We start from the raw sequence: 27,906 nt of genomic DNA, 5'->3' as shown, positions 1-27,906 counted from the left end.
TTCCACACAGCACGTCCTCTAACCAAGGTGCTTACTTTATGGCTAAAAAAGTGCGGCAGTGGGCTCATGCTCATGGAATTGACTCATCTAACCATGTTCCCCATCATCCTGAAGCAGCTGGATTGACAGAACAGTGGAATGGCCTTTTGAAGTCACAAATATAACACCAACTAGGTGACAATATTTTGCAAGGCTGGGGCAAAGTTCTCCAGAAGGCTGTGTATGCTCTGAATCAGCATCCAATATATGGTACTGTTTCTCCCATAGCCAGGATTCATGGGTCCAGGAATCAAGGGATGGAAGTGAAAGTGGCACCAGTTACCATCACCCCTAGTGTTCCACAAGCAAAATTTTTGCTTCCTGTTCCCGCAAAATTACGTTCTGCTGGCCTAGAGGTCTTAGTTCCATAGGGAGGAACACTGCCACCAGGAGACCCAACAACAATTCCATTAAACTGGAAGATTGCCACCTGAACACTTTGGGCTTCTTCTACCTTTAAGTGAACCGGCTAAGAAGGGAGTTACAGGGCCGGGCACGGTGGCTCACGCCTATAATCCCCGCACTTTGGGAGGCCAAGGCGGGCGGATCATGAGGTCAGGAGTTTGAGACCAGCCTGACCAACATGGTGAAACCCTGTCTCTACTAAAAATACAAAAATTAGCCAGGCATGGTGGCATGTGCCTGTAATCCCAGCTACTCAGGAGGCTGAGGCAGGAGAATTGCTTGAACCCGGGAGGCAGAGGTTGCAGTGAACCAAGATCATGCCATTGCACTCCAGCCTGGGCGACAGAGTGAGACTCCTTCTCAAAAAAAACAAACAAAAAAAAGGGAGTTACAGTGTTGCCTGGGATGGTTGTCCCGGATTATCAAGATGGAATCAGTCTACTACTCCACAATGGAGGTAAGGAAGAGTATGCATGGAATACAGGAGATCCATTAGGGTGTCTCTTGGTATTACCATGTGCTGTAATTAGATCAATGGGAAACTACAACAGCCCAATCCAGCCAGGACTACAAATGACCCAGACCCTTCAGGAATGAAGGTTTGGGTCACTCCACCAGGAAAAAAACCATGACCTGCTGAGGTGCTTGCTGAAGGCAAAGGGAATACAGAATGGGTAATAGATGAAGGTAGTCATCAATACCAGCTATGACCATGTGACCAGCTGCAGAAACGAGGACTGTAATTGTCATATTTCCTCCCTCTTTTGTTAAGAACATGTTTGTGCATATATATACTTGTACTAAAAAAATCTTCATTTTATTTCCTTTCCCTTTATCATGTGACATAAGATTTATTGACTTCACATCAGCATTTATGTATTGTTAACTTTATGTAATAGTATTTGGGTTGGGAATTGGTACGTTTCCCATTGTATGAAGGACAGTTGTATTATGTTAGGCATAATTATGACCTTATTATTGTCTTTATTTGAAGATTATATATGATCTCAGGAGATGTGTATGGGTTCAAGTTGACAACCGGTGGACTTGTGATGGTTAATACTGAGTGTCAACTTAATTGTATTGAAGGATACAAAGTATGGATCCCGGGCGTGTCTGTGAGGGGGTTGCCAAAGAAGATTAACATTTGAGTCAGTGGGCTGGGAAAGGCAGACCCACCTTAATCTGGGTGGGCACAATCTAATCAGCTGACAGCGAGGCTAGAATATATATAGGCAGAAATACGTGAAAAGAGAGACTGGCCTAGCCTCCCCGCCTACATCTTTCTCCCATGCTGGATGCTTCCTGCCCTCGAACATTGGACTCCAATCCTTTTGGAACTAATCCTTTTGGAAGTTGGACTGGTTCTCCTTGCTCCTCAGCTTGCAGATGGCGTGTTGTGGGGCCTTGTGTTTGTGTGAGTTAATCCTTAATAAACTCCCATGATATATATATATATATATATATATGTTCCATTAGTTCTGTCCCTCTAGAGAACCCTAATACAAGCCAAATCTACAATAGCAAAATATTTACCAGTTGTTTATTAGATAGAGTCAGTAACTTCAATAATATTGGGTATCAGGTCTGAGGACCTTAAGGTTCCAGTAATCCACCATGAGGCACTATTCACATTCATGCTTTCCAGGTTAAAAAGGCCAAGTTTGGCTGCTAGATGCAGGTGCAGTGGGATAATCACCCCTTCATACAAGTTTCAATTCTTTTTTTTTTTTTTGGACAGAGTCTTGCTCTGTCACCCACGCTGGAGTGCAGTAGTGCAATCTTGACTCACTGCAACCTCCACCTCCTGTGTTCAAGTGATTCTCATGCCTCAGCCACCCGAGTAGCTGGGATTACAGGTGTGCACCACCATGCCTAGCTAATTTTTGTATTTTTAGTACAGAGAGCGTTTTGTCATGTGCCCCAGCTGGTCTTGAACTCCTGAGTTCAAGCAATCTGCCTGCCTCAGCCTCTTGAAATGCTGGGAGCCACCGTGCCCAGCCTTAATTCTTGAAGGCCCTGTTTTAATTTACATTGGCCACATTAACTATTTTATTTAATTTTATTTATTTATTTATTTTGAGGTGTAGTTTCACTCTTGTCACCCAGGCTGAAGTGCAGTGATGCAATCTTAGCTCACTACAACCTCCGCCTCCCAGGTTCAAACGATTCTCCTGCCTCAGCCTCCCGAGTAGCTGGGATTACAGGCATGCACCACTACACCTGGCTAGTTTTTTTGTTTGTTTGTTTTTGTTTTTGTTTTTTGTATTTTTGTATTTTTAGTAGAGACGGGATTTTGCCATGTTGGCCAGGCTGGTCTCAAACTCCTGACCTCAGGTGATCCACCCGCCTCGGCCTCCCAAAGTGCTGGGATTACAGGCATGAGCCACCGTGCCCAGCCCGATATTATTTTAACTGTGGTTTTCACAAGGTCCCTTTTCATTAAGCCAAGTTGTTAAGTGCCAATGACTTCATTTTAATTTATTGCTCACTGATTCCATGTCCACCACGGTACATTTTAAGGTCATAAGTGCTATGACCATGTGGTATCTTGGAGAGACAACAGTTAAGGTGAGGCATACTTATTTAGTCTCTATTTTATATTCAGAAACTCCCCTAAAAACATACAGACAAGGAGGGGAAGTTCTTTTTATTCTGCTCATATTTATAGATTTCTTTCTCCAGAGAGCCTCAAATCATTATCATCAGGGTGAGAGGCCTCCTCCTTCCCTGCAAGGCAATGGTTGGTTTACAGGGTTTAAGAACCTCAGGCTTAAGCTGGGTTTGAATTAACCCCCTCACAATGCCACAGGGTGCCATAGGGTGGCTTTTCCCTATGACCCTACAGAGGAGGATTTTTCTTGCAATGGAGGCTCGGGCAGCAAAGTACTGCAGTGGAAACCTGCAAGGCCCATGGCCCAGTGGTGGGTGGACTGAAACTATCCTTAGCAACAGTCCCGCCTTTTCCATGACACAGGCTTTTTTATTGCTGTCTATATATAAATTGCCAAACAATATTTTAGATTTCTAGCCACAATAAGTTGCAGCTTTCCATTTCAGTCACTGTCCCATCACCATGTGGACCTTCTGGATGAGAACAGGGAAAGGTTCAGGGGCCCAATGGCCCACCTTGTAGGCAGCTGCCCCTTCTGACAGGGAGGGCCAATCAATATCTCCAGGGTTAGGATCCACATCCAGGAAGGTCATTTTGTTTATGGCCCAGGTGGGAGCCAACAAGCTGTGCCATTACAAGCTTAGCCCTCTGGCTTCTTGGTAAGCAGCCATACTAAGCAAAGCCCAGGTGCACTGGCTAGGGGTTTTGCATGGGGAAAGCAGTTGAGCTACATTCTCCAGCAGGAGAGGCTGGTACCAAATGCTCCTTCTATTTTTTCATCAGCTCCTCGGTTGTGGGCTACAACAGATTTGCACCTTCATGCTCTTAGACACCAGGAGAGCACGCTGAACAGAAGCAGGGGAAGCAACAGCACAAGTGCCAGGCAAGGCCATTACTCTTGCCTGAAAAACACTCACTAGGCATCCATGGTGCCATGTTTAATTCTCCCTGGAGTAGTGGTCTTCTTTCTTCCTTTCCGCTAACCTCAGGAAGGGCAGACCTGTCCCAGGGGGTGGGTGCACAATCACAAATAACATCTGTATAGCTCCCCCAGGTAGCCAGTGATGGTTCACAGAGTAGACACAGCAACAAAAGAGATCTGGCCTGACTCGTGGTAAGCTGAACTCAAGCACCAACTGGTTAGGGTGCTGTGTTGTTGCTGCCTCTACAGGAGGGAGCCTCATAAACCACCTATAAACACACCAAACCCAAGAGCACAGAATGCCACTGTACAGTCAAATAACAATCCTCATGTTGGAGATGAGAGCCACCTAGGGTGGGAAGAAGTGAAAACAATGAAGGCCAAAGCACAAGCCCACCAGCAATGGCCAGTTTGGACCCAGGCAGCCTTTGCTGTATCATGGAGCCAGTTATCCACCAAGAACAGTTAATTACAGCTCACCAGGGGCCCTGGGACCATCCTGTTCATTATGCCAATTGTCATCCCCTCCTCTTCACCCTGTGGGTGAGGAAGGAATTCCTACCCTTGGGTCGTGGGATGGCTGAAGCATACTCAACACCTCATAGGTGATTTTGACAGCATTTATCAGTCACTTGTACTTACGGCCCAGGAGAGGAGGGCACTGCAACAGGCAAGACCACAGAGATATTTCACTCGGGAATAAGTGAACAACCAAGGGCTTTGGGAGGCAGGCTTTTCACTATCAAGAGAGCTTTATTCCCCTAGTTCCTGCAGGAGGATGCAATTGTCTGGTTTAATTCTGAGAGCTGGCAGGAAACTGAAACATACTACTCAGGGATAAGCAGGAACTGTGCCTGGAATTTATTTTATTTTATTTTATTTATTTTAGAGATGGGGTCTCAATCTGTCATCCAGGCTGGAGTGCAGTGGCATTATCACAGCTCACAGTAGCCTCAACCTCCTGGGCCCAAGTGATCACCCTGCCTCAGCCTCCCAAGTAGCTGGGACTACAGGTGTGCATGCCCTATTAATTTTTCAATTTTTTGTACAAAGTCTCACTATGTTACCCAAGCTGGTCTTGAACTCCTGGGCTCAAGCAATCCTCCCACCTTGACCTCCCAAAGTGCTGGGATTATAGGCATGAGCCACAGAGCCGGGCCTGGGCCTGGTCCTTTTGATAAGGAAGGTTTTTCGGCTCAGGGACTTCATCTACAGGAGCAAAGTGGGGAGTAGAACTGTGGCTACTCCATCATGAGTAAATGTTCCTGACAAGAAATGCTAAAAATCCTTCACGGCAAAGTGAAAGTACACCAGACAGTAACTCAAATCCAAATGAAAAGGAAAAGAACACTGGTAAAGGTAATCACACAGGCAAACATAAAAGTCAGTATTCATGCATTTTTGACAACTGAAATCCTCTTTTCTATGTGGTTTAAAAAACATAAAATGGGCTGGGTGTGATGGCTCACGCCTGTAATCCCAGCACTTTAGGAGGCTGATGCGGGCAGATCACTTGAGATCAGAAGTTCAAGACCAGCCTGGCCAACATGGTGAAATCCTGTCTCTACTAAAAATACAGAAATTAGCTGGGCATGGTGGCAGGCATCTGTAATCCCAGCTACTCAGGAGGCTGAGGCAGGAGAATTCCTTGAACCTGGGAGGCAGAGGTTGCAGTGAGCTGAGATCACACCATTGCACTCAGCCTGCGTGACAAGAGTAAAACTCCATCTCAAAGAAAATGAATAAAACATAAAACAGTAATTATAAGACAATGTTGATGAGCAAACATTGTATAAAAATGTAATTATGGACCAGGCGTGGTGGCTCACACCTGTAATCTCAGCACTTTGGGAGGCCAAAGCGGGCAGATCACAAGGTCAGGATTTCAAGACCAGCCTGACTAACACGGTGAAACCCCGTCTCTACTAAAAATACAAAAATTAGCCGGGCATGGTGGTGCACACCTGTAATCCCAGCTACTCAGGAGGCTGAGGCAGGAGAATCACTTGAATCCGGGAGGCAGAGGTTGCAGTGAGCCAAGATCACACCACTGCACTCCAGTCTAGGTGACAGAGGAAGACTCTGTCTCAAACAAAAAAAAAAATGTAAATATGACATAATAACTTAAGGGGGACAGAGCTATATAGGAGAAAAATTTTTGTATACTATAAATATCAAGTTGGTATTCATTCAAACCAGAGTGGTAAAGCCAAGCATGGTGGTGCATGCCTGTAATCCCAGCTATTAGGGAGGCTGAGGCAGGAGGAACGCTTGAGCCCAGGAGTTCGAGGTCTCAGTGCACTGTGACTGTACCTGTGAATAGCCACTGCACTCCAGCTTGAGCAACACAGCAATACTCCATCTCTTTAAAAAACAGCAACAAGGAGGCTGGGTGCAGTGGCTCACGCCTGTAATCCCAACACTTTGGGAGGCTTAGGTGGGCAGAATGCCTGAGCTCGGGAGTTTGAGACCACCTTTGGCAACATGTGAAACCCGGTCTCTACTAAAATACAAAAAATTAGCCAGGCGTGGTGGCAGGTGCCTGTAGTCCCAGCTACTCAGGAGGCTGAGGCATGAGAATTGCTTGAATCCAGGAGGCAGAGGTTGCAGGGAGCCAAGATCGTGCCACTGCACTCCAGCCTGGGCAACACTGTCTCCAAAAAAAAAACAACAACAACAACAACACAAACTAGAGTGGTATAAATTAAGATGTTAACTGTAATCCCCAAAGCAGCCACTAAAAAAGTTATTTCATAAAAGAAATGAAAAAATTCAAAATGGTACATAAGAAAACATGTGCCGGGCATGGTGGCTCACGCCTGTAATCCCAGCACTTTGGGAGGCTGAGATGGGTGGATCACGAGGTCAGGAGTTCACGACCAGCTTGGCCAACATAGTGAAACCCCATCTCTACTAAAAAATACAAAAAAATTAGCCAGGAGTGGTGGCGGACACCTGCAATCCCAGCTACTTGGGAAGCTGAGGCAGGAGAATCGCTTGAACCTGGGAGGCGGAGGTTGCAGTGAGCCGAGATCGCGTCATTGCACTCCAGCTCGGGCAACAGTGCAAGACTCCGCCTCAAAAAAAAAAAAAAAAAAGAAAGAAAGAAAGAAAACATGTATCTAACACATAAGCCAGTAAAGGAGGAACTTAGGAACAAAAAATATATAAGACATATACAAAACAAAAACCACAATGGCATAAATCCTTCATTATCAATAATCAATTTAAATGTACAATCATGTGTCACTTAATGACAGTGACACATTTCTGAGAAATATGTCATTAGGTATGTTTACAAAAACCTAAATGGTATAGCTACTACACACCTAGGCTATATGATACGGCCTATTGCTCCTACGCTACAAACCTGTATAGCATGTGACTATACTGAATACTGTAGGCAAGTGTAACACAATGGTAAGTATTTGTGTGTCTAAACATAGAAAAGGCATAGTAAGTATACAGCGTGAAAGATAAAAAGGCTGAAGCACAGTGGCTCACACCTGTAATCCCAGCACTTTGGGAGGTAGAGGCAGGTGGATTCCTTGAGACCAGGAGTTAGAGACCAGCCTGGGCAACATGGTGAAACCCTGTCTCTACAGAAAAATACAAAAATTAGTTGGGCATGGTGGTGCATGCCTTGTAGTCCCAGCTATTTGGGAGGCTGAGGTGGGAGGATCGATTGAGCCCAGGAAGTTGAGGCTACAGTGAGCCAGGATCATGCCACTATACTCCACCCTGGACGACAGAGAGAGACCTTGTCTCAAAACAAATAAACAAAAAGACTAAAAAATGGCACACCTGTATAGGGCACTTACCATGAATGGAGCTTGCAGGACTAGAAGTTGCTCTGGGTGAGTCAGTCAATGGTGATTGAATGAGAAGGCCTAGAACAGTACTATTACTCTAGACTTTATAAACATTGTACACTTGGGCTACACTAAGTTTATTTTTAAAATAGTTTTCCTTTCTTCAACAATAATCTTAGTTTACCATAACACTTTTTACTTTAACATTTTGACTCTTTTGTAATCATTGTATAGCTGTACAAAAATATTTTCTTTATATCCTTATTCTCCAAGCTTTTTTCTATCTATATATCTATTTGTTTATTTTTACTTTTTAAATGTTTCATTAAAAACTAAGACACACACATACACATTAGCCCAGGCCTACACAAGGTCAGGATCATCATTCTCACTGTCTTCCACCTCCACATCTTGTTCCACTGGAGGGTCTTCAAGGGCAATTAACACACACATAAAGCTGCCATCTCTATGATAACAGTGCCTTCTGGAATACCTCTTAAAGAGACTGTCTGCAGCTGTTTTACAGCCACCTTTTTTTTTTTTTTTTTTTTTGAGACAGGGTCTCACTGTCTCCCAGGCTAGAGTGCAGTGCTACAATCACAGTTCATTGCAGCCTTGACTCCCAGGCTCAAGAGATCCTCCCATCTCAGCCTCTTGAATAGCTGAGACTACAGGCATGTGCCACCACATCTGGCTGATTTTTATATTTCCTGTAGAGATGGGGTCTCACTATGTTGCCCAAGTTGGTCTTGAATACCTGGGCTCAAGTGATTCACCCGGCTTGGCCCCGCAAAGTGCTGGTATTACAGGCATGAGCCACCGCACCTGGCCTGCCCTTTTTTAAATAAGTAGGAGATGTACACTCTGAAATAATGATAAAATGTATAGTAAATACATAAACCAGTAACATAGGCATTTATTGTCATCATCAAGTATTATGTATGATACATCATTGTATGTGCTATACTTTTTAGGACTGTCAGTGCAGTAGATTTAGAACAGCACCAGCACAAACGTGAATAATGAGTTATTTAGGTATTTAGTTTCTTTTTTTTTTATTATACTTTAAGTTCTAGGGTACATGTGCACAATGTGCAGGTTTGTTACATATGTATACATGTGCCATGTTGGTGTGCTGCACCCATTAACTCATCATTTACATTAGGTATACCTCCTGATGCTATCCCCCCCCACCCCACGACAGGCCCCAGTGTGTGATGTTCCCCTTCCTGTGTCCAAGTGTTCTCATTGTTCAATTCCCACCTGTGAGTGAGAATATGCGGTGTTTGGTTTTCTGTTCTTGCAATAGTTTGCTGAGAATGATGGTTTCCAGCTTCATCCATGTCCCTACAAAAGACATGAACTCATCCTTTTTTATGGATGCATAGTATTCCATGGTGTATATGTGCCAAATTTTCTTAATCCAGTCTATCATTGATGGACATTTGGGTGGTTCCAAGTCTTTGCTATTGTGAATAGTGCCGCAATAAACATACATGTGCATGTGTCTTTATAGCAGCATGATTTATAATCCTTTGGGTATATACCCAGTAATGGGATGGCTGGGTCAAATGGTACCTCTAGTTCTAGATCCTTGAGGAATAGCCACACATTGTAGTATTTAGTTTCTTTCAACAATGTTTTGTAGTTTCAGTGTACAAGTCTTGCCTCATTTGGTTAAATATACTCTGAAGTATCTTAATTTTTTTAATGCTATTGTAAATGGTTACTGCACCATTGTACTCCAGCCTGAGTGGCAGAGCAAGACCCTGTCTGGAAAGAAAAAAAAAAGGAAAGTTAAAAGGTTTTGTGGGTTTTTTTTGTTTTTGTTTTTTTTTGAGACAGGGTCTCACTCTGTTGCCCAAGCTGGAATGCAGTGGCACTATCTCAGCTCACTGCAACCTCTCCACCTCCTGGGTTCAAAAGATTCTCCTGCCTCAGCCTCCCAAGTAGCTGGGACTACAGGCGCATGCCACTATGCTCAGCTAATTTTTGTATTTTCAGTAGAGATGGGGTTTCGCCATGTTGACCAGGCTGGCCTCGAATTCCTGACCTCAGGTGATCTGCCCACCTCAGCCTCCCAAAGTACTAGGATTACAGGCATAAGCCACTGAGCCTGGCCTAGAAAAGTTAAAAGTTTGTAAAGGAAAAAAGTTACAGTAAACTAAAATTAATATATTGTTGAAGAAAAATATTTTTTATAAACAGTGTAGCCTAAGTGTACAGTGTTTATAAAGCCTACAGTAGTGTACAATAACGTACTAGGCCTTCACACTCACCACTCACCCACTGACTCATGCAGAGAAACTTCCAGACCTGCAAGATCCATGCATGGTAAGTGCCTATACAGGTATACCATTTTTTTTCATCTTTTATACTATATTTTTACTGTACCTTTTCTATGTTTACATATATAAATACTTACCATTGTGTTACAATTGTCTACAGTATTCCATACAGTAACATGCTGTACAGGTTTATAGCCCAGGAGCAACAGGCTATATCGTATAGTCTAGATGTGTGGTAGGCTATACCATCTAGGTTTGTGTAAGTACACACTCTATGATGTTTGCACAGCAATGAAGTTGCCTAACATGTCCCAGAGTGTATCCTTGTCACTAAGCAAGGCATAACTGTATGCTGAATCTACAGGTAAATTTAGAGAGCGTGACAATTTCAAGATATTATTAGGTGTTCCCTATCTCCATATTTATGTTTCCTTTAATGCTTTTCAATATACTTTTCTTGTTTTCTCCATTAAAGGCCTTGCTGACCAGGCCCAGTGGCTCATGTCTGTATTTCCAACACTTTGGGAGTCCAAGGTGAGAGAATCGCTTGAGTCCAGAAGTTCAGGACCAGCCTGGCAACAAGAAGAAACCCCATCTCCACAAAAATACAAAAAAAAAAAAAATTAGCTGGGCATGGTGGTGTGCGCCTGTGGTCCCAGCTACTCAGGAGGCTGAGGTGGGAGAATCAGCTGAGCCCGGGAGGCAGAGGTTGCGGTGAGCTGAGATTGCACCACTGCACTCCAGCCTCGGTGACTGAGCAAGATCCTGTCTCAAAAAAATTAAAAATAAAGGCCTTGTTATTGCAAATGGTTTAAATTCTTTGAATTGGAGCCAGGGGTGGGGGGTTGTTTTTTGTTTGTTTTTTTGAGACAGGGTCTCACTCTGTCACCCAGACTGGAGTGCAGTGGTATGATCATAGCTCACTACAGCCTTGATCTCCTGCACTCAAACCTGAATCATGTTTTCTAAAGATGACTGGTGTGGCCAGGCGTGGTGGCTCATGCCTGTAATCCTAGCACTTTGGAAGGGCTAGGTGAAAGGATCACTTGAGCTCAGGAGTTCAAGACCAGCCTGGGCAACATAGTGAGACCTTGCCTCTAAAAAAATATAAAGATGAAGCCAGGCATGGTGGCTCATGCCTGTAATCCCAGCACTTTGGGAGGCCGAGGCAGGCGGATCACCTGAGGTCAGGAGTTCAAGATCAGCCTGGTGAAATCCCATCTTTACTAAAAATACAAAAATTAGCCAGGTGTGGTGGTGCATGCCTGTAATCCCAGCTACTCAGGAGGCTGAGGCAGGAGAATCACTTGAACCTGGGAGGCGGAGGTTGCAGTGAACCGAGACCGCACCATTGCACTCCAGCATGGGCGACAGAGTGAGACTGTCTCAAAAATAAAATAAAATAAAATGAAATAGATGACTGGTGCTTAGAAAGACAACAGATTATATACATTGATCTTACATTTGCCAACTTGCTATATACTCAGAGTATTTTTAATCATCTGTCTGCAGACAATTTTTTTCTTTTTCTTTTTTTTTTTGAGACAGGGTCTCACTCCATCACCCAAGTTGGAGTGTGACAGTGCAACCTCCGCTCACTGCGGCCTTGACTGCCCAGGCTCACGAGATCCTTCCACCTCAGCCTCACAAGTAGATGGGGCTACAGATGCATGGCACTTTGCCTGGCTAATTTTTGTATTTTTTATAGAAATGGGGTTTTGCCGTGTGCCCAGGCTAGTCTCGAATTTCTGGGAGGCTGAGGTGGGCAGATCGCTTGAGCCTAGAAGGTCAAGGCTTGAGTGAGCTGTGATCACACCACTGCACTCCAGCCTGGGCATCAGAGTAGGACTCTGTCTCCAAACAAATAAAATAAAATAACAAAAAAAACCCTCAAAATCCAACTTATCTTTGTCTTTTATCAGGAGAATTTAGTCAATTTTCACTTCCTGTAATTATTAAAATATCTGGCCGTTTCTTTATTTTTTTGGTCAGGGGTGCAGCTTTTAGGTGTTCCACACTTTCCACTCTTTACTCTCCAATACTTTATTACCCTTTTTGGGTCTGATTCAATTTGTTTACAATGGTTGGTTTTAATTTTCCACTTTCTCTCATTTGCAGGTTTGAAAGTGATAGTGTTTTGCTTATTTTAGCATTTGTTCATTAAATTTTACCATGCATATTTCTTAACGTGTCTTCGGAAAAACAAACATTTTAGAACAGAAGTCTAACTGCTAACTGACCTATGTGCTATTTTTCAGTATTATGTGTTTGTCCTTTTTACACGCAACAAGTATTACTCACCAAAGAAATGTTTGTTTAGATTTACCTACAATCTTTTTTTTTTTTTTTTGAGACGGAGTCTCGCTGTGTTGCCCAGGCTAGAGTGCAGTGGCGCGATCTCGGCTCACTACAAGCTCCACCTCCCAGGTTCACGCCATTCTCCTGCCTCAACCTCCCGAGTTGCTGGGACTACAGGCGCCCGCCACTACGCCCGGCTAATTTTTTGTATTTTTAGTAGAGACAGGGTTTCTCCATGTTAGCCAGGATGGTCTCAATCTCCTGACCTCGTGATCCACCCGCCTAGGCCTCCCAAAGTGCTGGGATTACAGGCGTGAGCCACTGCGCCCAGCCTAGATTTACCTACATTCTTATCAATTTCCTCTCAGCACTATTGCATCCCATTTTTCGCCAACTCAATAAATTATAGCTCTATGGACTGGGCACGGTGGCTCACGCATGTATTCCTAGCACTTTGGGAGGCCGAGGTGGGCAGATCACTTGAGTCAGGAGTTCGTGACCAGCCTGGCCACTGTGGCGAAACCCCGTCTCTACTAAAAATACAAAAATTAGCCGGCATGGTGGCAACACAGCTATAATCCCAACTACTTGGGAGGCTGAGGCAGGAGGATCACTTGAACCCGGGAGGCGGAAGTTGCAGTGAGCCGAGATCATGCCACTGCACTCCAGCCTGGGCAACAGAGACTCCATCTCAAAAAAAAAAAGAAAAAAGAAAAAAATATATATATATATATAAAATACCAAATACAAGACAGAGTAGGTATGCTGAATCCGAGAGGCAGAAGTTGCAGTGAGCCGAGATCATGCCACTGCACTCCAGCCTGGGCAACAGAGTGAGACTCCATCTCAAAAAAAAAAAAAAAAAAAAAAAAAAAAAAAGAAAAAAAAAAAAAATATATATATATATATATATATATAAAATACCAAATACAGGACAGAGTAGGTATGCTGTGTGACACAAGAGATGTCTCTCTCTCTCTCTCTCCATATACATATATATATATATATATCTTTTTTCTTTTTTTTTGAGACGGAGTCTCGCTCTGTCGCCCAGGCTGGAGGGCAGTGGCGCAATCTCGGCTCGCTGCAAGCTCTGCCTCCCGGGTTCACGCCATTCTCCTGCCTCAGCCTCCGGAATAGCTGGGACTACAGGCGCCTGACACCACGCCCAGCTAATTTTTTGTATTTTTAGTAGAGATGGGGTTTCACCGTGTTGGCCAGGATGGTCTCGATCTCCTGACCTCATGATCTTCCCGCCTCGGCCTCCCAAAGTGCTAGGATTACAGGCGTGAGCCACCGCGCCCAGCCTATATATCTCTTATGTATCAAACACCACTTTTTCTTGTACTCCAAAACCAATCTAACAAATCCTGTTTGGGGAACACCTTCAACAAACATCCAGAAATAAAACCCTTCACATGACCTCCCTAACTCTACTGAGCTAGTGCAGGCGCCATCACTGTTGTGGGCCATTGCAGGATTTACTGCTGCCTGCTCCCCAATCTGCCACCCCTCAGCTGGCATGTTCTCTTCATGAAAGCCAGAGAGAGGTGAGTCAGATCCTGTCACTTCTTTGCTCAAAATCCTCCAATGCCTAGAATATTCAGAAACTACACGGCTCACATTCTCCCTCACATCATTAAAATTTGTGTTCTGATTTTGACCCCAAAGGGGTTTAAAAACATTTGCTAAAATATCACACCACATTTTAGTCTCCTCCAAAACAAAAGTATAAACTTCCTCACAGTAGGATCATTATATTTTCCACAGGTCTATCCCCAGCTGTAAACCTAACTGGCATGTAAATTAATAAAAAACTTCATACTTGTTGAATGAATAAATGATACACAATTAAAATAAGACAATAGAAAGGGAATAAATAAGAAAAAGATCTAAAATGAGATAGGCAAGAATTAGATTTTTGTAAATGCTGAGAATAATAACTCTGTCTAAAAAATTCAAGTGAAAACCCAAGAACACTCAGCTATGAGGTCATTACTTGGAAGTGTATTATATTTATTAAGGAAAACAGACCGATTATTCTAGGCCACTTTTACAGTGGTGCCTCTAAAAAATAAAACTCCCCCATGACATGAGTTTACCTATGTAAACAAACCTTCACATGTACCCCACTGAACCTAAAATAAAAGTCTTAAAAAAAGACCCCCAAAGAGCTCTCTAGCTCTCTCTCTCCACTATGTGAGGATGTAACGTGACATTGGCAGTCTGCAACCTGGAAGAGGGCCCTCACCAGAACCTGACCATGCTAGCATGCTAGCACCCTGGTCTTGGACTTCTAGCCCCCAAAACTGGGAGAAATAAATTTCAGTTGTTTGTAACCCAAAAAATAAATAAATAAATGAAATGAAATATAAAATTCCTTTAAAATAGCAAAGAGCAGACACCTGAATGGACAGGGACCAATCTCACTAGGCTTACAGTGGGTAGGTACTCACTACTCACCAAAGTGGCTTTGGCTTGAGGACTCTTCCTCTAATATCCATGCCTCCTCTCCTTGCTGCAACTTGAAGACCACCTTTGGCTTGCTAATGCAATACCCTGTGAATGAGAAATGACTTAGGACTCAGCCAGGCTTATAGCTTCAAGCCTTCTGAAGAAAAAGGTGCAGTTTTAGGAGCTGTAGTCAATAGTTCCACTTAAGCTTTTCACTAGGAGAGGGGAAAAAAGTTTCCAGTGACCAAAAAAGGTCACCTTATACCTACAGCCCAGGGTCTCCTTTGAACCCTAAATTTCAACCCTAAAAAATAATTCATCTCTATAAAGGATCACGTATATCAACTGCTAAAAAAGAAATGAATGCTATTTGAAGTATATAAAACGCAATCCTTACCCACTGAGATGAGGAGGCTGTAGTTCTCCAGCATTACATTCATGTACAGGGTCCTCTCAATAGGGCCCAGATGCTACCACTCCTCCTGGGTGAAGTCCACAGTCACGTCCTTGAGCGACACTGATCCCTGAAAAAGTACATCTGTGTTCATTTTACAGTGACTACAACAAACACTATGCAATGTTTGGGATCTAATATCTTGTCATGTTCACTATTGATACTCAAAGAAAAAATGTCACACAGCATACCTACTCTGTCCTTTATTTGGCATTATATCCTGTGGGAGAACAAATCACAAAAGTACCTTAACCATGTATTAATTTATTGATTTGTGGGAAAAAAATCTAAAGTTCCCCAATGTGCTGGAACTGTCTTATGTTCTGGGGATATAAAAATTAATACTTTAAAACACTGCTCTCAAAGGGTTAATTATATCATTGAAAGACATAGTTAAAAAATATGCCTGCAATAAGGTTTTGCAGAAGAAATGCAAGAAGAATCTAAAAGGTAATGGCCACACCCGGGAAAGTGTTCAATTCTGTTTTGCTACCTTAAGAAATTAACGCATTGAGTCCTCACACATCAATAATGTATCATGGGGCTGGGTGCGGTGGCTCACACCTGTAATCCCAACACATTGAGAGCCCCAGGCGGGCAAATCACCTGAGGCCAGGAACTGAAGACCAGCCTGGCCAACATGGTGAAACCCCATCTCTACTAAAACTACAAAAATTAGCTGGGTGTGGCGGCATACACCTGTAATCCCAGCTACTCAGGAGGCTGAGGTGGGAGAATCGCTTGAACCTGGGAGGCGGAGGTTGCAGTGAGCCGAGATCATGCCATTGTACTCCAAACTGGGAGACAGAGCAAGACTCCGTCTCTAATAATAATAATAACAATGTATTATGGGCCAAAGACAAAGCAAAAAAAAAAAAAAAAGCCTGGGGACACTGAAAACACAGGGCAGGTTAATAGAACTACAAATAGTACTGTTTGTTGGTGAAAGGATAGAGCTATATTAAGATACAGATGCAGAAGCAAAATCAAGAGCTAGATGATTATAAGTAATTTGGGATAAATTCCTTTCCCTAAATATTTTATCATAAGTTAAACATATGTACTATAAAGTTTCTTTTTTGTGAGTGTAAATAATGTAAACAGCTAGGCTAGTATTTTCTTCCAGCGTGCTGATTTTTTTTTTTTTTTGAGATGGAGTCTCACTCTGCTGCCCAGGCTGGAGTGCAGTGGTGTGATCTCGGCTCACTGCAACCTCTGCCTCCCAGGTCCAAGTGATTCTCCTGCCTCAGCCTCCTGAGTAGATGACATTACAGGCGCGCACTACCATGCCCAGCTTTTTTTTTTTTTTTTTTTTTTTTTGTATTTTTAGTAGAGACAGGGTTTCACCATGTTGGCCAGGCTGGTCTCAAACTCCTGACCTCAAGTGCTGGGCTTACAGGTGTGAGCCTCACGCCCAGCCTCAAGTGTACTGATTTTCTTAAGCACTCCCTAAGGTATATCTCGAACCCACCACTTCAAGATCACAGCTGTGGGTAACAGGGAGCCAATAAAGAGGTGAAGTAAGCACTAGAGTTAGATGTCCAGGTTTGCATCTTAGGGGCAGTGATTTTAAGAAGAGTGGAGAAGAGCTTAAGAGGAAATGCAAGGCAAAGACCAGAGGGCAGGATGACCACCCACATTCAGGTGTAAGAACCGGCAGGAGTTGGCAAGCAATTCACAGCCAAATCTGGCCTGCCCCATTCTGTACAGGAACCAGGAATGGTTGTTACATTTTTTACATTTTCCAATGGTTAGGAAAAAATCAAAAGAATATTTTGGGACACATATATGTAAAAATTATACAAAATTCAAATTTCAGTGTCCATAAATAAAATTTTATAAGAACACAAGCTTGTGTGTTTGTGTATTGTCTAAGCTGCTTTCACACAACAGCAGGGACAAGTAGTCACCACAGACTGTATGTGGCACTCTCACTGCTGCCCAGCACACTACAAATCACAAGACATGGATTCAGTTATAACTTCGCTGCATTTCAAGTGCCAAGCCTAATGCCATCTTGTGACATTTTATTTTAGTTTTTTTTTTTTTTTTTTAGAGATGGAGTCTTGTTCTGCCGCCTAAGCTGGAGTGCAGTGGCGCAATATTGGCTGACTACAACCTCTGCCTCCCAGGTTCAAGCCATTCTCCTGCCTTAGCCTCCCAAAGGACTGGGATTACAGGCATGAGCCAACGCGCCTGGCCTATTTTAGCTTTTTATTACCAGTGCATATCACGTCAAAACAAGAGAAATGGGCTTTGAGTGTCAGATTTTTAAGGCACAGCGGAGTGTGGGTAGTTTTCTTATCTAATTAGCTGGAATATTTCATCACAGCTTATTTGGAAGCCATATATATATATATATATATATATATATATTTTTTTTTTTTTTTCTTTTTTTGAGGAAGGGTCTTGCTCTGTCTCCCAGGCTGTCCAGTGGCACAATCATGGCTCACTGCAGCCTCGACCTCCCAGGCTCAAGTGATCCTCCCACTTCAACCTCCCAAGTAGCTGGGACTACGAGCATGCATCACCACACCTGGATATTTTTACTGTTTGTAGAGACAGGGTTTCGCCATGTCGCCCAGGCTGATCTGAACTCCTAGTCTCAGGCAATCCACCCTCTTCGGCTTCCCAAAGTGCTGGGATTACAGGTGTGAGCCATCACGCCAGGTTGTTAGCCATATTTTTAGAAAGAGTTCAAATACAAAGACAGAGAATAAAGCAGTGGTTTCCACAGGTGTTGGAGGGGTGGTAAAGGAAATGCGGAAATGTAGGTCAAAGGATACAAACTTTTAAATATGTAGGATGAACACCACTAGAGTTTTGTTGTTGTTGTTGTTTGTTTGTTTGTTTTTGAGAAGGAGTTTCGCTCTTGTTGCCTCGGCTGGAGTGCAATGGAGCAATCTCAGCTCACCGCAACCTCCGCCTCCCAGGTTCAAGGAATTCTCCTGCCTCAGCCACCTGAGTAGCTGGGATTACAGGCATGCGACACCACACCCAGCTAATTTTGTATCTTTGGTAGAGACGGGGTTTCTCCATGTTGGTCAGGCTGGTCTCAAACTGCTGACCTCAGGTGATCCACCTGCCTCGGCCTCCAAAAGTGCTGGGATTACAGGCATGAGCCACCACGCCTGGCCTGAACACCTTTAGAGTTCTAATGTACAACATAAGGACTAAAATTAGTAAAATTCTATTAGAGATTTTTATTAAGTAAACTGTAGCTGCTCTTGTCACAACAAAAGCAACTATGTGAGATGACAGATCCATTAATCTGCTTCACTAAACACTTTACTATCTATACATATCCCATAACATGTTGTAAGCCTCAAAAATACACATTAAATTTATTTTTAAAAAATAAAATCATGACTTTGGGAGGCCGAGGCCGGCGGATCACGAGGTCAGGAAATCGAAATCATTCTGGCTAACATGGTGAAACCCAGTCTCTACTAAAAAATACAAAAAAATTAGCCGGGCGTGGTGGCGGGCGCTTGTAGTCCCAGCTACTTGGGAGGCTGAGGCAGGAGAATGGCGTGAACTCAGGAGGTGGAGCTTGCAGTGAGCCGAGATCATGCCACTACACTCCAGCCTGGGCGATAGAGCGAGACTCCATCTCAAAATAAAATAAAATAAAATAAAATAATAAAATAAAATCATGTTTGTGGACTGATATCAGTAACTGGTAGTACCTATGTGAAACACATTTTCAAAGATGAAATATGTGAAAGCTCATTACAATTCAACATTAGCAGATGATGATTTGCAATAGATTTTGATGACATAGAATAGTAACAAAGAACCTCAATTAAGCAAAATGTTAACCACCCCAAAAGAATTCCACTTTTCTCATTAGTAGACCTGTATTGCAAAACACTATAACACAATCATGATTATATTTTGAATTTCATCAACAAAAACTGGCGGTAGCCTGGGCAATGTGGCAAAACCCCATCTTCACAGAAATTTTTTAAATTAGCAGCTCATGGCGGGATGTGGCAGCGTGGTGGCTGTGTGGTCCCAGCTACTCAGGAGGCTGACGTGGAAGAATCACTTGAGCCTAGGAGGTCTAGGCTGCAGTGAGCCGTGATCACACCATTGCACTTCAGCCTGGCAACAGAGTGAGGCCAAAGACCTCATATCAAAACAAACAAACAAAATAAAACAAAACAAAACAAAAATTGTGTAAATTTCTTCTGTCTCTTGCTCAATAAGTCCTACATATATCCTTGATTTTATTTCTTGGTCCACAAAGCATAAAATATTCGCTATCTGGCTCTTTACAAAAGACGTTAGCTAACTCCTGGAAAGAAGAATTGATCCTACAAAATAAGACATTAAGAGATATTGGTCCCAAATTCATGGTGCAAAAGAAAGATGGGGAAATTATCTCCCAGAGTTTCTTTATGAGCCTCCAGGTAAATCCAGGTGCCATTTGCAAAGACTGGGAAGTGCAAAGAAAGAGGCTGGGCAAAAGGTAAGGGCTAGAGGGGTCTCGGACATGTTGTGCTCGAAGTGTCTGTGGAACGGGCAGGCAGGGATCTTCAGGAGGGAGCTGGATGAGTGGTTCTGGAGCTCAGAAGGGAAGCCCGTAATGAAGCTGAGGACTGCGGAGTCACTGGCATGTTGGTGGCTGCTGAAACCAGCAGTGAATCAGATGGCTCCCAAGGAAAGGCAAAAGTACTGGGGCCAGGTCTGAGGGAACCCACACAGGTACCTGGAGAACAGGACACAAAGAATAAGAATAAAATTCTCTGAAACAACAATAAAATTAGCAACCTGCACTAAACATAGAGTTATTCACTTATGGAAAATGAATAAAAAACGAAGTAGAGGCCTGTAATCCCAGTACTTTGGGAGGCTGAGGCGGGTGAATCACCTAAGGTGAGGAGTTTGAGACCATCCTAACCAACATGGTGAAACCCCGTCTCTACTAAAAATACAAAAATTAAAAATTAGCCAGGCATAGTGGCACATGTCTGTAGTCCCAGCTACTCAGGAGGCTGAGGCAGGAGAATCGCTTGAACCTGCGAGGCAGAGGTAGCAGTGAGCCGAGATCATGCCCCCAGGAGACAGAGTGAGACTCTGTCTCAAAAAAAAAAAAAGAAAAAAAAAGGCCAGGCATGGTGGCTCATGCCTGTAATCCCAGCACTTTGGGAGTCTGAGGCGGGGAAATCACCTGAGGTTGGGAGTTCGAGACCAGCCTGACCAACATGGAGAAACCCCATCTCTACTAAAAATACAAAATTAGTCAAGCATAGAGGTGCATGCCTGTAATCCCAGCTACTCAGGAGGCTGAGGCAGGGGAATAGCTTGAACCTGGGAGGCAGAGGTTGTGGTGAGCCGAGATCATGCCATTGCACTCCAGCCTGGGCAACAAGAGTGAAATTCCATCTCAAAAAAAAAAAAAAATTAGCCAGGCGTGGTGGCGGGCACCTGTAATCCCAGCTACTTGGGAGGCTGAGGCAGGAGAACAGCTTGAACCCAGAAGGTGGAGGTTGCAGTGAGCCAAGATTGTGCCATTGCACTCCAGCCCGTGCAACAAGAGCAAAACTCCATCTCAAAAAAAAAAAAAAAAAAAAAAAAAAGTAGAGCTACTTCAGGAAAACTCAGGCTATAACAGTAAGAACTAAGATAAGCAAAACAACTGAATATGGGGGGAAAATCACAAGAAGAAATGGGAGAAAATCTGTTTGTTTGTTTTATTTATTTTCTTTTTGTTTGTTTTGTTTTGTTTGAGGCAGGGTCTTGGTCTGTTGCCCAGGCTGGAGTACAGTGGCACGATCTCAGCTCACTGCAACCTCCAGCTCAGCAGGCCAAGCAATTCTCCTGCCTCAGCCTCCCGAGTAGCTGGGATTACAGGCACCTGCCACCACACTGGCTACCCCTTTTTGTATTTTTAGTAGAGATGGGGTTTCACCATGTTGCCCAGGATCATCTCAAACTCCTGACCTCAGGCGATCCACCCGCCTTCGGCCTCTCAAAGTGCTGGGATTATAGGCATGAGCCACCACGCCGGCCTCAATCCTTCTACTTTTAAGCTATTTCTGTCTTTATATTAATATGAGTTTCTTGTCTATAGTATATAAATGGGCATTGCTTTTTTTAAAATCCAATTTGGCAACATCTGCCTTTGGATATTTGGGGCATTTGTATGTAACGTGAATACTGATGTGACTGTTTAAGTCTATAACTTATTTGTTTCTATTTTTCTTCTTGTTCCAGCTGTTCTTTGATCTTTTTTCTCTTTTTAAGCCTTCTATTGGATTTAGTATTTTTTATGATTCTTCCTTCAGGACTTTGCTCCAATGTACCTTTCTCAGTGAAACTAAATTTTTGCCTAATTTATCATTTTTGACATTACAAGTATTCCCATTTTTCTTCCATTTCTACTTGGAACTTGTTATTGGCTAACATGTTTAACATTTGTATCTAGGCCAGGTGTGGTGGCTCACGCCTGTAATCCCAACACTTTGGGAGGCGGAGGCAGGAAGATTACCTGGGGTCAGGAGTTCGAGATCAGCTTGGCCAACATGGTAAAACCCCGTCTCTACTAAAAATACAAAAATTAGCCAGGCTTGGTGGCCGGCGCCTATAAACTCAGCTACTCAGGAGCCTGAGACATGAGAATTGCTTGAACCCAGGAGGTGGAGGTTGCAGTGAGCCGAGATCACATTATTGCACTCCAGCCAGGGCGACAGAGCGAGACTCCATCTCAAAAAATAAATAAAAATAAATAAATAAATAAATGTGTATCTAATTACCTGTTAGCTAGTGACTTTTTAAATTTTTTTCACTTTTTTAGAAATGGAGTCTTTCTATGTTGGCCAGGTTGGTCTTGAACTCCTGGCCTCAAGCAATCCTCCTTCCTTGGCATGAGCCACTGCACCCAGCCTAGTGACTTTCATATAATTCTGTATTCAAGTTAAATATGTTGATGTAGTATCTCCAAGAAGTTGGGGAGTGTTTTTGTTTTGGTTTTTCTTTTTGAGCCAGGGTCTGTCTCTGTTGCCTGGGCTGGCGTGATCACTGTTCACCACACCATTGACCTCCTGGGCTCAGGTGATTCTTCCGAGTAGCCAGGACTACACGCATAGGCCACCATACCCAGCTAATTTTTTCATATTTTTTTTTTGTAGAGACAGGATTTTGCCATATTGCCCAGGCTGGTCTCAAACTCCTGGCCTCAAGCGATCCTCTCACCTCATCCTCCCAAAGTGCTGGGATAACAGGAGTAAGCCACCACTCCTGGCCTCCAGTAAGTTTCTTATTGTTGAAGTAGCCATACTTTCTTTGATATAAACCCTACTTGGTCAGTCATTTATTCAGTGAATATATATTGAGCATGTGCTGCTACAGTGTTGGAAAGATTGTTGTGAACAAAATTACTACTTTCATGGAGAGGATATTCTAATAGAACATCCTGTATTTATTCGTTGGTATAATCCTCGATGTAGTCTCCCTATATTTTTTGTGATTTTCATTTGTTGTGTTACAAGATTTTGTTATTAGGTGTACTTTCTCAAAGCTGTTTATATTTTTGTTTTATTACCTTGCTTCCTTATTAATGCCAGCTTTAGATTTAATCACTTTTATGACCAGTTGCAACAAACTGCTTTTAGTTTTACACTTAGCTTTGCTCCTTATTATGTTTTAATTATATTCATGATTTTATCCTAACCTTGTCCTGCTTTGCTTTTTTTCCAGTTTCTTTGAGCAAATATATAATTCATAATTATTTTCAGTTTAGTTTTAAAAATAAGTTACACTATTCTGCAATAAATTTACTTGTTGCCCTAAAGTTGTCATGTATTCTCCTTACAATTTATTCCAGATAATTAATAATTTGGATTTTGATATTTATCTTAAGTCCAAAGTTTTATTTAAGGGATGATTTCTTTTATGATTATATATCATAAGTAATTTATCTATTTAGTTTTAAAGCTCACAATTAAGGATGTAATATCTTGAAATTCTTTTTTTTTTTGAGACAGGGTCTTGCTCTATCACCCAGGCTGGAGTGCAGTGGAGCCATCTTGGCTCACTCCAAACTCCGCCTCCCTGTTTAAGCAATTCTCCTGCCTCAGCCTGAGTAGTTGGGACTACAGGCGCCTGCCACCATGCCCGGCTAATTTTTTTTTTTTTTTTTTTTTTTTTTTGTATTTTGGTAGAGGCGGAGTTTTGCCAAGTTGGCCAGGCTGGTCTCGAACTCCTGACCTCAGGTGATCCACCCACCTCGGCCTCCCAAAATGCTGGGAATACAGGTGAGGGCCACTGCGCCCGGCCTCAAAATTCTACTTCTAACAAATTTCTACTTTTTAGTATTAAAAATGTTCGGGCCGGGCACAGTGACTCACGCCTGTAATCCCAGTACTTTGGGAGGCCCAGGCTGGGGGATCACCTGAAGTCGGAAGATGGACACCATCCTGGCTAACACAGTGAAACCCTCATCTCTACTAAAAATACAAAAAATTAGCCAGGCGTGGTGGCACATGCCTGTAATCCCAGCTACTCCGAAGGCTGAGGCAGGCGAATTTCCTGAACCCGGGAGGCGGAGTCTGCAGTGAGCGGAGATTGCGCCATTGCACTCCAGCCTGGGCAACAAGAGCAAAACTCCATCTCAAAAAAAAAAAAGAAAAAAATGTTTCTGGGCCGGGCACGGTGGCTCACGCCTGTAATCCCAGCACTTTGGGAGGCGGAGGCAGGCAGATCACGAGGTCAGGAAATCGAGACCATCCTGGCTAATACGATGGAACCCCATCTCATTTAAAAACACAAAAAATTAGCCAGGCATGGTCGCACGCGTCTGTAATCCCAACTAATCAGGAGGCTGAGGCAGGAGAATCGCTTGATCCTGGAAGGCGGAGGTTGCAGTGAGCTGAGATCGTGCCACTGCACTCCAGCCTGGGTGATAGAGCAAGACTCTGCTTCAAAAAAAAAAAAAAAAAAAAATTCTTAGTGACTAGAATATGATCTAATGATGAAAAATGAGTGATGAAAAATTTGTTGACCTAGATCCCATAATAGGCATGGCACTTAATCTTTTTACTTCAGTTTTATTTTGGGAAAACAATGATATCTATGTTACACGTTTGTTGTTGAGATTAGATTTTATAAGTTTAAGATATTTAGAAAACCATCTGACACAGAATAAATACCACTGAATTTTAGGTATGATTATCTCTTCAATCTTTGCAATTTTTCCTTGAAGAGTAAAATATTCCATTGGGTAGAATACAGGCTAGCTGGCTATCTTTCCTTATTTTTAATCTCTTTGATCTGTCATAAGCTGAAAGAGGTTTCTTGCCTCTCTTAATAGTTTTCTATAACCAAGGTAGCAGCTGCTTTTGTATTTGGCTATATAAAAAGATGGCTTTTATCCTCTTGCCTAATTTTGCTATTTACCATTGTGTGATATCTATTTTCATACCATTACGGGTACAAGTTCCACTTTGATATAAATAAAGGTGCTCTTATTTGCCTTTTAATTGCTTTTGCCAAAAATATTTTGCCCATTTCTTTGCTTTCCTTCCTTCATCTCTTTTAGACTTTTTTTTTTTTTGAGAAGGAGTTTCACTCTTGTTGCCCAGGCTGTAGTGCAATGGCGCAATCTCGGCTCACCGCAACCTCCGCCTCCCAGGTTCAAGCGATTCTCCTGCCTCAGCCTCCCGAGTAGCTGGGATTACAAGCATGCACCACCAAGCCAGGCTAATTTTGTATTTTTAGTGGAGACGAAGTTTTTCCATGTTGGTCAGGCTGGTCTCGAACTCCCAACCTCAGGTGATCCGCACCCTCCTCGGCCTCCCAAAGTGCTGGGATTACAGGTGTGAGCCACCCTGCCCAGGCTTTTAGATTTCTTAAAAGCATGTTTTTAAGAAACAATATGGCTGCATTTTGGTTTTTTAAACCAGTATAATAGTCTGTCTTGGATAAGAAATTCAGCCATTCATATTTTTTGTAATGTGTGTATTTTGGTTTTGCTCTGAATCTTGGTTTATCAACTATTATATTAATGTTGGAACATAACATATCCATTTCAATTTATACCATTAATCACACTTTCTCAGTTCCTTTACCTCTTCTGGTTTGTTCAGAAAAGAAAGGTCTGAAATGTGAAATAGAATTACAGGCACAAATGCCAGAGAGTGTAACTGCGAACTGTCTATACTACCCCATAAATACAGCCTAAATGGGGAAAAAAAATGATTTACTGAAATAGTCTGAAGATGCACTTGATTTCTTCCTCCAGATACTCTACATTTTATCCCTGTATCAAGCAGCAACACCAGAAAATGGCCTAGAGCAGTGCTGTCCAATTTGGTAGCCACTAGCCACATGTGGCAACTAAGCACTTAAAATGTTACTATGTGACTTATGAAATATATTTTAATTATATTTCAATATCCACATATGGCTAGTGGTTACTCTACTAATCTACATACCACACTAGACTACAATATTTTGATTCTCTGAAAACCTATATTCACTGAGTTTTCTCATAGCTCTTGAGTCCTTTGTTCCCACTGAAGAACTACTGAAAGAGGTTGAATTTCTAAGTTATTGGAAGGTTGTACACTTCATCGCCCATACAGAGTGCAAAAAGAGAACAATTTTAGACTCATTGCCAGGAAGTCTTCATGCCCCATTCATAATCAATATGGTTTTTCTTTATGGAAATGTAAATCATGTGACAGATGTCTGCATTGTGCAATGGCTATCAAAAAGATTCAAATTTACAGCTCAATTTTGATAACTATGAAAGACCATAAAACTTGTACTTACCTATGTATTAAATCATGCTATCAGTCTGCTATTGTCTATTTTCCTGTTGATTTCTATATTTCCATTCTAATGAGCCTTAAAAGCCTCATACATTGCATTATAAATAAAGCTGATAATAACAACTAAACAACTCACCTGGGATCTGTTCATTTTCTACTGATCTTGGAAAAATGTGAAGAGTAAAGGTAATGCTGGGAAAGAGGAGGTAAGAATAAAGTTAGGAGAAATCTGGCCCGCCTTGCTGCTCCTGGATCCAACTTCCTAAAATGCTACACAGAAGAGACCATTTGAACAATGTGGAGACATCTCTATGACCAGATTGTGTTGAGCTTAGACATGCAATTTTTCACTGGGTGAAAGTAAACACATGTATCCCAATGATTAACAATTTATGTCGCTAAGACACAAAAAAATTTAAAATACAAACAATTCATAAATGACAGGATCCTAATATAGAAAGTGTCTTCATTAAAATTGATGTGGTAGGAAACACTCATGTTGTGCTGTTTATCTGTTTTCCTATGAATATAATACTGGGAATATTGTTGAACAATTCACAGAAACTCTAAAAAATAGAATGAATGCTTCAGTACAAGATTTTTTTAAATATTTGTTCTAATTTGATTACAGTTTCACAATCTTTTGATAAGACTTGTTTCAGCTATGCAAAGGAATAAAGAAATCACGAAACTTTTTTTTTTTGAAACAGTCTTGCTCCGTCGCCCAGGCTGGCATGCAGTGGCATGATCTCGGCTCACTGCAACCTCCACCTCCCAGGTTCAAGCAGTTCTCCTGCCTCAGCCTCTCGAGTAGCTGAGATTATAGGTGCCCACCATCATGCCCAGCTAATTTTTTGTATTTTAGTAGAGACAGGGTTTCCCCATGTTGGCCAGGCTGGTCTCGAACTCCTGACCTCAGGTGATCCACCTGCCTTGGCCTCCCAGAGTGCTGGGATTACAGGTGTGAGCCACCGCGCCTGGACCAAATTCTTATCTTGATCAGTAACAAAGGAGTGACCTGTAATAATTCATTGATTCTCTCAGGCTCCATACATTTTATCTTTCAAATGAGGCAGAAATAGTTAAATACTGTATACTCTACCTGCACTACCATCTTGTGATTCTAAGGTGAGAATAAAGGCCGGGTGTGGTGGCTCATGCCTGTAATCCCAGCACTTTGGGGGGCCAAAGCAGGTGGATCACCTGAGGTCAGGAGTTCAAGACCAGCCTCGCCAACATGGCGAAACCCTGTCTCTACTAAAAATACAAAAATTAGCTGGGCCTGGTGGCACACACCTGTAATCCCAGCTACTCAGGAGGCTGAGGCAGAAGAATCACTTGAAGCCAGGAGATGGAGGTTGCAGGGAGGCGGACGTTGCAGTGAGCCGAGATCATGCCACTGCACTCCAGCCTTGGCAACAGAGTGAGACTCCATCTCAAAAAGGATAATAAATAAAAATAAAATAAAATATCAATTATTGGTCAGGCATGGTGGTTCACACCTGTAATCCCAGCAATTTGGGAGGCCAAGGCAGGCAGATCACTTGAGGTCAGGAGTTCCAGACCACCCTGGCCAACATAGTGAAAATCTGTCTTTACAAAAAATACAAAAATTAGCTGAGCATGGTGACACATGCCTGTAGTCCCAGCTACTTGGGAGGCTGAGGCACAAGAATCACTTGAACCCGGGAGGAGGAGGTTGCAGTGAACTGAGATTGTGCACCTGCACTCCAGCCTGGGCAACAGAGTGAGATTCTGATTCAAAAAAAAAAGAAGGGCTGGGCATGGTGGCTGTAATCCCAACACTTTGGCAGGCCAAGGCGGGTGGACACCTGAGGTCGG

The 27,906-nt window shown here is 42.7% G+C and overlaps 1 protein-coding gene across 1 annotated transcript in view; it reads right to left on the bottom strand.

The window, feature by feature from the left end:
- ZNF487 (zinc finger protein 487) overlaps positions 1–27,906 on the bottom strand; it is an 87,047-nt gene that overhangs the window by 12,523 nt on the left and 46,618 nt on the right. The window contains exons 5-8 of the transcript XR_007061981.1: positions 26,201–26,256; positions 17,823–20,000; positions 15,230–15,356; positions 14,842–14,937 (exon numbers count right to left, since the gene is read on the bottom strand). The gene's annotated coding sequence lies outside the window, so the exon portion shown is untranslated. The remainder of the gene's footprint in view (positions 1–14,841; positions 14,938–15,229; positions 15,357–17,822; positions 20,001–26,200; positions 26,257–27,906) is intronic.

This window comes from Homo sapiens, chromosome 10, assembly GCF_000001405.40.
Source record: "Homo sapiens chromosome 10, GRCh38.p14 Primary Assembly".
NCBI classification, from domain to species: Eukaryota; Metazoa; Chordata; class Mammalia; order Primates; family Hominidae; genus Homo; species Homo sapiens.
This window is presented reverse-complemented; position numbering and strand designations above follow the sequence as displayed.